Source organism: Homo sapiens, chromosome 8 (assembly GCF_000001405.40).
Source record: "Homo sapiens chromosome 8, GRCh38.p14 Primary Assembly".
Lineage (NCBI taxonomy): Eukaryota > Metazoa > Chordata > Mammalia > Primates > Hominidae > Homo > Homo sapiens.
In genome coordinates, this window is record NC_000008.11 from 30,707,473 (window position 1) to 30,721,370 (window position 13,898).

At 44.0% G+C, this 13,898-nt stretch overlaps 1 protein-coding gene across 6 annotated transcripts in view; it reads right to left on the bottom strand.

Annotated features, from left to right (window-relative positions):
* Positions 1-13,898, bottom strand: part of GSR (glutathione-disulfide reductase) — a 49,781-nt gene that overhangs the window by 29,407 nt on the left and 6,476 nt on the right. For 5 of the 6 annotated variants that reach the window (NM_001195104.3, NM_001195102.3, NM_001195103.3 and 2 more), the window contains exons 2-4: positions 4,590-4,616; positions 2,342-2,430; positions 600-669 (exon numbers count right to left, since the gene is read on the bottom strand). In NM_001195104.3, the coding sequence (NP_001182033.1) occupies positions 600-669; positions 2,342-2,430; positions 4,590-4,616 (186 nt within the window). Of the gene's footprint in view, positions 1-599; positions 670-770; positions 1,499-2,341; positions 2,431-4,589; positions 4,617-13,898 lie in introns of those variants that run through there. The other variant, XM_047421728.1, reaches the window with a different exon arrangement.

The window sequence follows — 13,898 nt, forward strand, 5'->3', positions numbered from 1 at the left end:
GCAACACAGTGAGAAATCTCTACAAAATATTTTAAAAATTAGCCAGGTGTGGTGGTGCATGCCTACAGTCCTAGTTACTAAGGAGACTGAGGTGGGAGGACTGCTTGAGCCCAGGACTTGGAGGCTACAGTGAGCTATCATTGCACCACCGTACTCCAGCCTGGCGACAGATAGAGACCTGGTCGTTAAAAATAAAATAGGGCCGGGTGCAGTGGCTCATGCCTGTAATCTCAGCACTTTGAGAGGACAAGGTGGGCAGATCACCTGAGGTCAGGAGTTCGAGACCAGCCTGGCCAACATGGTGAAACCCTGTTTCTACTAAAAAAATACAAAAATTCGATGGGTGTGGTGGCACACGCCTGTAGTCCCAGCTACTCAGGAGGCTGAGGCAGGAGAATTGCTTGAACTCAGGAGGCGGAGGTTGCAGTGAGCCGAGATTGCGCCCCTGCACTCCAGCCTGGGCGACAGAGCGAGACCCTGTCTCCAAAAAAATAATAATAAAAATAAATAAATAAATAGGGCTACAGTCTGGCAAGACTTAGCTGAGTACTCAAGAAGGGAACAGCTCTTTCTCAAAGTTAAAAACCCAGCATACACACCTTGGTGAGATTGTTTTGATAGATGGCATTCAGGCGGCTCACATAGGCATCCCGCTTTTCCTTAATAACACTGCAATGAAACCCAAGTCAGTATTCAGAAACAGGATCTTCCCCTTCTAGTTAGTAACTAAGGCATCTGTCCCTGAACACCCCGAGCAGAGAATCACTGACTGTCAACAGCAACCGCAGTGAGTGAATGTCTCCGAAGACAGTCATCCCTTCCCTGTGTCATTCTGCTGCCCCATGTGTTAAAAGCCTCTGTGCCACTCAGTGGAGAACACACTCAGTTGGCATCATCTTTCTGCGCAGAAGACAAGGAGAAATGTTTTGGCAAAGTGCCTAGAACATGATGTGCACAGGACGTGGTGGGCACTTAATAAACACTTGCTAAATAAATAAATTTGCTAAATTTCTTCAAAACTGTTAATGGCTTCAAAGGATTTACAGCAGTTCCTTAAATAGTTAAACACAAAACTACCATACGATTCGGCAATTTCACTTCTAAGTACAGACCCAAAAGAAACTGGAAGCAGAGACCTGAACAGATACCCATATACGAATGTTCATAGCAGCATTGTTCACAATAACCAAAAGGTAAAAACAGGCCGGGCGCGGTGGCTCACGCCTGTAATCCCAGCACTTTGGGAGGCTGAGGTGGGCGGATCACGAGGTCAGAAGATCGAGATCATTCTGGCTAACACAGTGAAATCCCGTCTCTACTAAAAAAAATACAAAAAATTACCCAGGCATGCTGGTGGGTGCCTGTAGTCCCAGCTACTCAGGAGGCTGAGGCAGGAGAATGGCGTGAACCCGGTAGGCGGAGCGTGCAGTGAGCCGAGATCGCACCACTGCACTCCAGCCTGGGTGACAGAGTGAGACTCCGTCTCAAAAAAAAAAAAAAAAAAGGTAAAAACAACCCAAAAATTCACTAACAAATGAATGGATAAACAAAATGTGGTTTTATCCATATGAAGAAATCTTATTCTGCCTTTAAAAGGAATGAAGGCTGGGCACAGTGGCTCACACTTGTAATCCCAGCACATTGGGAGGCTGAGGCGGGAGGATCACTTCAGCTCAGGAGTTCAAGACTAGCCTGGGCACCACAGTGAGACCTCATCTCTACTAAAAACAAAAATTAAAAAAAATAGGCAGGCATGGTGGCACGTGCCTGTAGTCCCAGCTACTCAGGAGGCTGAAGTGGGAGGATAGCTTGAGCCCAGGAGCTCAAGATAGCAGTGAGCTATGATTGCACCACTGCACTCCAGCGTGGACAACAGAGCAAGACCCTGTCTTAACAAACAAACAAAAAGGAATGAGGTTCTGATACATACTACAACATGGACAAACCGTGAAAACAAAATACACTAGACATAAAGGAACAAATATTGTATGATTCCACTTATATGAGTTCCCTAGAATTGGCAAATTCATAGAGACAGAAAGCAGAATAGAGGTTCCCAGGGGCCAGGGGGAGAAGAGAATGAGGGGTTATTGTTTAATAGAATAGTTTCTGTTTGGGATAGCAGAAAAGTTCTGGAAGTGGTAATAGTGGTGACGACTGTATAACAATGTGAATGCGCTTAATGGCACTCAATTGTATACTTAAAAATGGCTAAACTGTAAATCTCGTATTGTGAATATTTACCGCAATTCCTCCTCCATCCCTAAAAAAGTTTATGGCTCAGTTATAAAAGAAAAATATCTACACTTGGAAACTGAACCCTCTGAGTGTTGACACTTACCGCCAATTGAATTTACCCTCACAACTTGGAAAGCCATAATCAGCATGATCATGCATGAATTCAGAGTGGACAGCTGTGTTCCACATTACCTGTAAAAAAAAAAAAAAAAAAGGATCCAAAACAGCAGTAAATCAGTCCTGAGGGAAAAAAGGAATCATGAATGAATGGTAACTAGGTAACAGCAGATAAAAATACTGCCCTTTAAATTAAAAACAAACCTAGCTGGGCACGGCAGCTCACGTCTGTAATCCCAGCACTTTGGGAGCCCGAGGCAGGTGGATCACTTGAGGTCAAGAGTTCGGGACCAGCCTGGCCAACATGGCAAAACCCCATCTCTATTAAAAATACAAAAATTAGCTGGGTATGGTGGCACACACCTGTAGTCCCAGCTACTTGGGAAGCTGAGGCAGGAGAATTGCTTGAACCCTGAGGGCAGAGGTTGTAGTGAGCCAAGATCACACTGCTGCACTCCAGCCTGAGTGACAGAGTCTCTGTCTCAAAAGATAAAATAATAATAATAATAATAAATAAAATCTACTATACCTTGCTAACTTAAAACATTTTTTTTTAAAGAGATAAGGGGAAAGCTATTAAAAACAGACTAAAAAGAAACAAACACAAGGCCGGGCACAGTGGCTCATGACTATAATCCCAGCACTTTGGAAGGCAGAGGGAGGTAGATCACTTGAGGTCAGGAGTTCGAGACCATCTTGGCCAACATGGTGAAATCTCATTTCTAATAAAAATACAAAAAAAATTAGCCAGGCATGGTGATGCACGCCTGTAGTCCCAGCTACTTGTGCTGAGGCAGGAGAATCACTTGAACCTGGGAGGTGGAGATTGCAGTGAGCTGAAATCACACCACTGCATTCCGGCCTGGGCAAGAGTGAGACTCTGTCTCAAAAAAAAAAAAAAAAAAAAAAAAAAAAAAAGAAAAGAAAAAAAAGAAAAAAAAATATATAAATGAACATACATAAATGTCTACCGCATGTGATCAGAAGGAATAAGTAAATATGAGACTAAAACATTACAAAATCAGTTTACTGTGCAGTATTAGCCCAGTGGTATATTTAAAAAAAAATAAACTTGTACCAATCAACACGAAATTTACCACCATAACTGGTTTAAACTACATAAAACCACCTTATAATTAATTTATATAATTCATACAGTCATAATTGCATGGCTCCAAGTAGAACAGATTACAAAAAGTATGACTAATAGGAAAGGAAATAGTTGAGGGAAAATGTCCCAGAGAAGAAAAGTCTTCCTAAGACAGAAAGAAAAACACCTTACCTATACCACGGAAAAGACTTCAAAAAGACTTTTTGGAATTAAACTCAGGTATGCATCACTGATGAGATTAGGAGATTTGCTTATATAATACCAAAAAGATGACAAGTTAAAATGGAATGTCATTAATAAAGGTGGTAAGCTTGAGATTACAACATATGTTGAAAGTACATTCAAATGAGTGGTAAAATTCTTTGCAAGTATAAGCAAGAGGCAGCTTTACAAATAAGAGCTGCTGTTTTTTCCTCTTTGTCAAGGGTAAAAAAAATGAATTCATTCAATGTGACCTGCACCACAGATATTAACAACGAAAAAATCACTAATGTGATACAGAAAATCCATGAACCCACAGAACTTGAGAAGATTCCATTCAACAGTTTGGTTTGCTGGCTGGGTCTTTTTGCTGAGAAAAAACTATCCTGTGGTGTAGATGACCAGGCCTTGGCTGGGGTCTGTGGCTCATGCCTATAATCCCAGCATTTTGGGAGGCTGAGGTGGGCAGATCACCTGAGGTCAGGAGTTCGAGACCAGCCTGGCCAACACGGTGAAACCCCCATCTCTACTAAAAATACAAAAATCAGTCAAGTGCAGTGGCGCACGCCTGTCATCCCAGCTACTTGGGAGGCTGAGGCAAGAGAATCACTTGAACCCAGGAGGCAGAGGTTGCGGTGAGCCAAGATCGCGCCACTGTACTCTAGCCTGGGTGACAAGAACGAAACTCCGTCTCAAAAAAACAATAATAATAAAAATAAAAAGTAATTAAAAATAAATAAAAAAATTTAAAAAACACAAATCAAACAAAAACAATCCTATTGCTTAAGCTACTTTTAGTAGGGTCTAGGGGTTTTTTTTGCAGAAAGAATTTTAACTGATCTATTTGGAAACATTCTGATTTTGATTATGATTTACCAAATAGAAAAAGGATTGTAAAGGGAAAGAGAAATAAAAATTCTACCTTTTTGGGTACACATCCAACATTCACCTGGAAAAAAAAAAAAGAGACACACTTTAAGAATATTGAATTCAAACCATCAAACGAAATCTGCAAGAAATGCACGCTAAGCATCAAGCGAGGAGTCTTCCTTGGGTTCTAAGTCACAGTGTACTAAATTCTAGTTACTTTCTTTGTTACAAAAAGATAAGAACATTATTTTCCTTCTGTAATGAGGGAGAGAAGTTCATTCATCAGCATTTTTCTTGGACGGAGAAAGAACAATCAGCCCATTTGAGCTGCTGTCTAAGAGGACTTCTCGGGAAAGTACTGCAGAATACATGGATAAACACCCAAGATGGGCCAGGGCTTGGTAGTTCACACCTGTAATTCCAGCACTTTGGGAGCTGAGGCAGTTGGATTGCTTAAGCCCATGAATTCGAGACCAGCCTGGGCAACAAGCGAGACCACGTCTCTACAAAAAAAAGTAGCTGGGTGTGGTGGTGCATGCCTGTGGTCCCAGCTACTCAGGAGGCTGAGGTGGGGGGACCCTTTGAGCCTGGAAAGACAAGGCTGCAGTAAGCCATGATCATGATCATGCCACTGCACTCCAGCCTGGGTGACACTGAAAGACTCTGCCTCAAAAAAGAAACACACACACAAAGAAAGGCTGAACATTGAGATACTGGTGAATACTCACCAAAAGCACAAAAATTTAAAGTACATGGCATGGAACTTAGGATATTGATTAACCATTAGTACAGAAACTTGAGAAAACCTAAATAAATATTAGATCTCATAAAATGACTTTGATTTATAACTACTAGGCATTTGGCCTAAAGAAGTAACCAAAGATGTAGAAAAGCGAAATGCACAAATGCACAGATTATCATGTTATGTACAAATACATATTTGGTTACAATCATTTCCATTTCACTCTTAGTTAATATATAGAAATACACTTATGGAATAAAAGTAGAAAAAGCAAGACTCAGAAAACTACTTTTTTTTTTTTTTGAGACGGAGTCTCGCTTTGTTGCCCAGGCTGGAGTGCAATGGTGCGATCACAGCTTACTGCAAACTCCACCTCCCAGATTCAAGCGATTCTCCTGCCTCAGCCTCTTGAATAGTTGGGACTGTAGGTGTGCACCACCATGCCCAGCTAATTTTTGTATTTTCAGTAGAGATGGGGTTTTGCCATGTTGGCCATGCTGGTCTCGAACTACTGACCTCAGGTGATCCACCTGCCTCAGCCTCCCAAAGTGCTGGGATTACAGTCATGAGCCACTGTGCCCAGCCAGAAAACTACATTATTTTTTTGTTTGGTTGTTTTTTTTTTGAGACTGAGTCTCACTATATCGCGCAGGCTGGAGTATAGTGGCAAGATCTCAGCTCACTGCAACCTCTGCCTCCCAGGCTCAAGCAATTCTCATGCCTCAGCCTCCCGAGTAGCTGAGATTACAGGCGCCTGCCATCCTGCCTGGCTAATTTTTGTATTTTTAGTAGAGATGGGGATTCGCCTTGTTGGCCAGGCTGGTCTCGAACTCATGACCTCAAGTGATCCACACACCTTGGCCTCCCAAAGTGCTGGAATTACAGGCATGAGCCACCACGCCCAGACGAAATCTACATTTTTTAAAAGTAAAGATAAAAGATAATTTAAATAATGAAATATTTTTCATCTGTCAGATTGGCAAAAATTTTAAAGGTTGACTATAACTAGTGTTAGCAAACATATCCTGATTGGCCCAGCAATTCTACTTTTACAGTAACCTAGAAAAGTAGTCACATATTATGCTCCCGTGTCCAAAGATGCATTTATGGGGCTATTCCTTGAAGCTTGGTGATAACGGGTAACTACAGACAGGTTAAATATCCATCGGCAGGGAAGTAGTAAATAGTTATACATTGAGTCTGTGGAATATTCTGCAGCCATTTAAAAGGGCAAGGTAGATTTCTATGCACTATATGGAAAGAGTTCTAACATACACTGTTATGCATCAAAAAGAAAGTTGCAGAATAGTAGTTATGCCACAACCCAATTCGTATTCATATGCAGTATGTGTGTATGTATATATGGGTGTAAACACAGTTTGGCTATACTCCAAGCAGTCAACAGTGTTTCTCTGGAGAGGGAGAAAACTTTCACATTTTGTTCTATATGCTTTTTTTTTTTTTTTTTTTTTTTTTTTGAGACAGAGTCTTGCTCTGTCACTCAGGCTGGAGTGCCATGGTGCAATCTCAGCTCACTGCAACCTCCGCTCCCCGGGATCAAACAATTCTCCCTCCTCAGCCCCCGAGTAGCTGGGACCACAGGCGTTCACCGCCATGCCTGGTATTTTTAGTAGAGACAGAGTCGCACCATGTTGCCCAGGCTGGTCTTAAACTCCTGAGCTCAAGTGATCCACCCGCCTTGGCATCCCAAAGTGCTGGGATTACAGGCGTGAGCCATCACGCCTGGATATACTTTTTAAAAAAAAATAAAAAATATTTTTCTAAAAATATAGAGACAGGGTCTCACTATGTTGCCCAGGCTGGTCTCAAACTCCTGGGCTCAAGCAATCCTCCTAACTCGGCCTCCCAAAGTGTTGAGATTACAGGTGTGAGCTACCATACGTGGCCTGTATATGCTTTTTATTTTATTTTTTAAATAAAAATTAAAAATACTTTATAAAAATAGAGACAAGGTCTCAGTATATTGCCCAGGCTGGTCTTGAACTCCTGAGATCAAGTGATTCTCCTGCCTCAGCCTCCCAAAGTGCTGAGATTATAGGCATGAGCCACCACGCTTGGCCTGTATATGCTTTTGGAAAACAGTTTAATGATCACTCACCAAAATCCACAGGAGAATCTTAAATGTTTACAAGCAGCAATTATTCCACTATTCCTGCCAGCACTGCATCCTTCATGGCAGAGTATCACAAGTACTTCATACTAAAAATTAGAATAATTTATGGGCTGGGTGTGGTGGCTCACGCCTGTAATCCCCACGCTTTGGGAGGCCGAAAAGAAAGATGATTGCTTGAGCCCAGGAGTTAGGGACCAGCCTGGGCAACACAGTGAGACCCTGAGACCCCATCTCTGTAAAAAAATAAAAAATAAAAAATTAGTTGGGTTTGGTGGTGCATGCCCGTAGTTCCAGCTATTCAGGAGGCTGAGGCGGAAGGATCTCTTGAGCCCAGGAGTTGAAGGCTACAATAAGCTCTGATCATACCACTGCACTCCAGCCTAGGTAACAGAGCCAGACCCTACCTCTAAAAATAAATAATAATAATAAACGTATGGCTTTCTATCTAGAGTGCCCTTTCATCTGGCCAAGCTGAGGATATGCTACTTCTCAACCCCCAAGTACCTGACAACATTACTGGGATAAATAGAATAAGCCATTTCTAAGAAAGGAGGACGCACAGCAGGGGTTTCCTAATGGTAAGAGCAGAGAAAGGAGGTCGAAACTCTGTGGGAAGAACAATGCTAGCCCCATAATGGGAATGATTTTCTCATCCAACCTGCCTTTTCCAGTTATTTGGCAGGCAACGTGCTTCCCCGTGCCTTCCACCCACACCTTTATACCCTGCAGTTCACCATTTAAGTTCACTAAGTGGCTTCAACTAGGACAGACTCCAAAAGCAATTTTCCCAAAGGTAGAGATGATTTGTCTGCTACATAAATACTGCTGGTCTTCCAGTCACCATTTCTGGCTTCCCAAGAATCATCAAAAGCAATCCAAGGGTGTCATAAAGCACTCAATGTTCTAAACTACTCTCACATACCATCAGTTTGTTCCTCATGTATATTTGAAGCTACTTTAAAGTTATTTAAGGCTTCTTTTTCTAATTTTAAAAATATGTTTTTTAAAAAAGTTTTTAAAAAATATGTTTAATTTTAAAACATATTCTTTTTTTGGAATATGTTTCTTCTAAGCGCCAAGGTGGGCTTTCACTGGTGCCTGGTGTCTATAACTCTGGTTTGTTTTTTTAGAAGTTTCTGCCTTTTTTGCTTCTACGTCGTCTTAGCTTGCAGGCATTCATTCAGAGGTACTGAGTAAGCACTCACTTGTGCCAGGCATTATGCAAGGTAAGGCACTAAACAGATACAGTCCCTGCTCTTGGGGACTGTATCAGTATCTTGGCCTACAGTGCCAGCCAGAGAGAGGCTCTGAGCCTGTCCAAGATACTGACTCAAGGGGCAGCAGCAGAATCTCCACATTCCCTAAAATTGAAGAGCACTGGGCCAGAAACCAGAGGAAGAGGATGGTGGAAAATTGTGGCCTTGTTGGGCCAGAGAAGCTGCGCCCCAGCACAACACACTTTGGGGCCTGGGGCACTGGTTGAAAGGAAGCCTATGACCCTGAAATACCACTGTCCTATTTTGCCAGCTCCTGTGAACAGGCCTCCAGGGATTTCCACTGCTTTTAGAGGCCTATTTACATGCCAGCAACATGACATGACTTCAGCGCCTCTGACTTGGAAGGAACGAAAAGCACATTTAGGCTGGGAGTGGCGGCTCATGCCTATAATCCCAGCACTTTGGGAGGCCAAGGCAGGTGGATCGCTTGAGGCCAGGAGTTCAAGATGAGCCTGGGCAACAAGGTGAAACACTGTCTCTAGAAAAAATACAAAAATTAGCCAGGTGTGATAGTGAAGCCTGTAGTCCCAGCTACTGGGGAGGCTGAGGCAGGAGAATCACTTGAGCTTGGGAGGTCAAGGCTACAGTGAGCCGAGATAGCACCACTGCACTCCAGCTTGGGCAACAGAATGAGACCCTATCTCAAAAAATACACATACACTTAGTTCCAGTGAGAGCTGGGGAGGCCAGGGGTGAAAAGCTGGCATGCTCTCGCTCACCCATCCCCTCTGCTGCTCCCTTCTCTTTCCCCCCAAATTTTTTTTTTTTCAATTTCTTACAAATTAGAGACGGAGGCTGGGCATGGTGGCTTATGCCTGTAATCCCAGCACTTCGGGAGGCCGAGGCGGGCAGATCACCTGAGGTCGGTAGTTCAAGACCAGCCTGACCAACATGGAGAAACCCTGTTTCTACTAAAAATGCAAAATTAGCTGGGCGTGGTAGCACATGCCTGTAATCCCAGCTACTTGGGAGGCTGAGGCAGGAGAATCGCTTGAACCCAGGAGGTGGAGGTTGCCGTGAGCGGAGATCGTGCCATTGCACTCCAGCCTGGGCAACAAGAGCGAAACTCTATCTCAAAAGAAAAAGGAAACAAACAAACAAACACATTAGAGACAGGGTCTTACTATGTTGCGCAGGCTGGTCTCAAAATGCTGGGCTGAAGCAGTCCTCTCACGTTAGCCTCCCAAAAGTTGGAATTACAAGCATGAGCCACCGCACTCAGCCTTCTTTCCCCTTTCTCTAGCTCAGGGCTCCCTGACCGCCAGGTGCCTATTAGGAACCAGGCTGCAGCAGGAGGTGAGTGGCGGGCAAGTGAGCGAAGCTTCATATGTATTTATAGCTGCTCCCCGTCGCTAGCATTACTGCCTGAGCTCCACCCACTTCCTTTCAGATCAGTGGCGGCATTAGATTCTCATAGGAGCGTGAACCCTATTGTGAACTGTGCATGCAAGGGATGTAGGTTGCACACTCCTTATGAGAATCTAATTGCTGATGATCTGTCACTGTCTCCCATCAGCCCCAGATGGGACCAACTAGTTGCAGGAAAACAAGCTCAGGGCTCCGTCGGAGTCTAGTTTATGGTGAGTTGCATAATTATTTCATTATATATTACAACATAATAATAATAGAAATAAAGTGCACAATAAATGTGATGCAGGCTGGGCGTGGTGCCGCAAGCCTGTAATTGCAGCACTTTGGGAGGCCGAGGCGGGCAATTACCTGAGGTCAGGAGTTCAAGACCAGCCTGGCCAACATGGTGAAACCTCCGTCTCTAATAAAAATACAAAAATTAGCCAGGTGTGGTGGTGGGTGCCTGTAATCCCAGCTACTTGGAAGGCTGAGGCAGGAGAATCGCTTGAACCCAGGAGGCAGAGGCTGCAGTGAGCCGAGATCATGCCATTGCACTCCAGCCTGGGCAACAAGAGTGAAATTCTGTCTCAAAAAAATAAAAATAAATAAATAAATAAATAAATAAATAAATGTGATTCACTTGAATCCTGAATCATCCTGAAACCATACCCCACTGCTGGTCCGTGGAAAAATTGTCTTCCACAAAACTGGTTCCTGGTGCCAAAAAGGCTGGGGACTGCTGCTCTAGCTGACCTGTGCATCAGGTTGTTAGAGGGAGCACAGGCCTCAAGTCAGACAGATAGGAGTTTGACTCTCAGCTCTCCCATTTAGTGGCTAGAGGTGGGTGAGTTTCCAAATTTCTCCTAGCTCAGTTAAGGGAAGAATGCTTCCATTATGGAGATTTTGAGCAGGTCAGAGATAAGGTATATAAAGCATCTATTTCTAATCTATGATAGATGTGATGGTGACTCTGATACCTCTGAATTATTTCTGCGTCTGCTGGCTCCCCACACGCACACAAGGCATACGGAAAGGCGGAGATAAATTCCCCAGGGGCCTTCCTACCTAAAACACATCAGCTGATCACAAAGGAAGTTTGCCTCCCAGACTGGAGCATTATCAGATGAGTTCTCAGGGCTCTGGTTGCCCAGAGTTGCACATTGCTAAGACCCTCAGCATACAACACTGGCAGATTCCCCGGTTCTCCAGGTGGGCATTAATGAGGGATAAGAAACAAGTTTCTTTTTTTCTTTTTGAGACAGAGTCTCACTCTGTCGCCCAGACTGGAGTGTGCAGTGACACAATCTCAGCTCACTGCAACTTCTGCCTCCCAGGTTCCAGTGATTCTTAGCTTCCCGAGTAGCTGAGATTATAGGCACGCACCACTATGCCCTGCTAAGGTGTTTTGTTTTTTTTTTTTGCTTTGTTTTGTTTTGAGATGGAGTCTCACTCTTGTTGCCCAGCTGGAGTCCAGTGGTGCCATCTCGGTTCATCACAACCTCTGCCTCCTGAGTTCAAGCAATTCTCCAGCTTCAGCCTCCCGAGTACCTGGGATTACAGGTGCCCGCCACCACGCCCAGCTAATTTTTAAATTTTTTTTTTTTTTTTTTTTTGAGACGAGGTCTCACTCTGTCATCAGGCTGAAGTGCAGTGGTGCGATCTCGGCTCACTGCAACCTCTGCCTCCTGGGTTCAAGCAATTCTCCTGCCTCAGCCTCCCGAGTAGCTGGGACAACAGGTGTGTACTACCACACCTGGATAAATTTTTTTTTTTTTATGTATTTTTAGTAGAGACGGAGTTTCACCGTGTTAGCCAGGATGGTGTCGATCTACTGACCTCATGATCCGCCCACCTCGGCCTCCCAAAGTGCTGGGATTACTGGCCTGAGCCACCGCGCCTGGCCAATTTTTGAATTTTTAGGAGAGATGGGGTTTCACCATGTTGACCAGGCTGGTCTCAAACTCCTGGCCTCAAGTGATCCACCCACTTCAGCCTCCCAAAGTGCTGGGATAACAGGCGTGAGCCACCACACCCAGCTAAGAAACAAAATTTCACAGGCTGTTCAGTAAATACATCATCAAGGAGACTCCTGTAACTCAGCCTCCCTTTCCAAACCGATGATCCATTCCTGAGAGCTTCCTTTTCCAACCAATCTAGTGTTCAGAACCCCGATCAGTGGGCCTGCTGGCATCAATCTAGTGTTCAGAATCCCGATCAGTGGGCCGCCTGTTATCTGGTGATAACAGGTGGCAAAATTCAGAAGCTTCACCATTTTTCCTAGGGCCTGCCTCGTTACCTTCAATCCTGCCTAGCCAGGTAGAAACTTCACATTGCCCATGTTGGCAGTAAAACAAGAACTTGGTTAATCTGCAATTGCGCCTGCCAAGAACATCAACTGTGTTCAATAGTGAACTTGCGGCTGGGTGTGGTGGCTCACGCTGTAATCCCAAAACTTTGGGAGGTGAGGTGGGAGGACTGCTTGAGCCCACGAGTTAGAGACCGGCCTGAGAAACATAGTAAGGCCTCGTCTCCACAAATAAAAAATTTAAAAATTAGCCGGGTGTGGTGTTGCACGCCTGTAGTCCCAGCTACATGGGAGGCTGAGGTGGGAGGATCGTTTGAGCCCAGGAGTTTGAGGCTGCCATGAGCTATATTGCACCACTGCACTCCAGCCTGGGTGACAGAGCAAGACCCTGTCTCAAAAAAAAATTGTTAACTTCCTTCCTCTGGTTCCCCACAACCTCCCACCACAGAATTGCCTACAGTTTCCTCCCTCTGTCGTCCTTCTTTGCTGCCTAAAATCTAATTCAAGACCAGAATGAGAACTACTCAGAAAATAGACGAGTCATAATTTCCAAGGCAAAACACTATCGATTTATCAACTCAATTATTTCAGCAACTATATACTGAGTACTTGCTATGTGCAAAACACTGTTCTAGGGGCTTGGACTATACTGATGACTTAAACAGATAAAGATCCCTGTCTCTGTTGCATTTCATCAGCTTTACACCAACCATGACTAAATATAATGCTGTCTGGACATGGCCCTGTCCCTGGCACATATTCACTATTCAATATCCATGTCTCCACCTTCAAAGTCTTTTTTTTCATTTCAGATGAAGGTTAGTTCAGGGAGGCATCAAACTTGAGAAAAAGAGAAAAAAAAAAGCAGTCTGTGTAAAGCAGAATCTAAAGCAAGAAAATCAATGGATACATTTGCAAGAGATATTAACAAAGGCTGTTTTTGTTCAATTCTTAGCTAAGCAGAACATTAACCTGAACCTTCCAGTCTCAGGAAATCACCAGATTTTTAAAAAGTGTGACTGGGTGCCGTGGCTCACACACAGGTGTGTAATCCTAGCACTTTTGACGGGTCAAGACTGGAGGATCCTTTGAGCCCAGGAGTTTGAGAGGAGCCTGGACAACACAGCGAGACCCCATCACCACAAATAACAGCCTGTAGTCTCAGCCAGTTGGGAAGCTGAGGCAGGAGGATCATCTGAACCCAGGATATTGAGGCTGCAGTGAGCCATGATCGTGCCACTGCACTCCAGCCTGGGCGACAGAGTGAGACCCTGCCTCAAAAAACAAAAAAATTTAAAAAATAAAAATAATTGTTACGGGCATCCGGGGAGAAGAAGAAAGAGTTTTGTGAGACAACTCTTCTGGATGTCAGTCCCCACTATTACCTGATACCCACCATCTCCCGTCCCCCAAAAAGAAAAGGACCTAGGACCTCCACATCCTATTAGGCTGGTGCAAAAGTAACTGCAGTAATATTTAATGTTGCAACACCTAGTGAATAGAAGGTAATGAATTCTCACTGACTGGAAGCCACTTACAAATGCCAAAGTGGT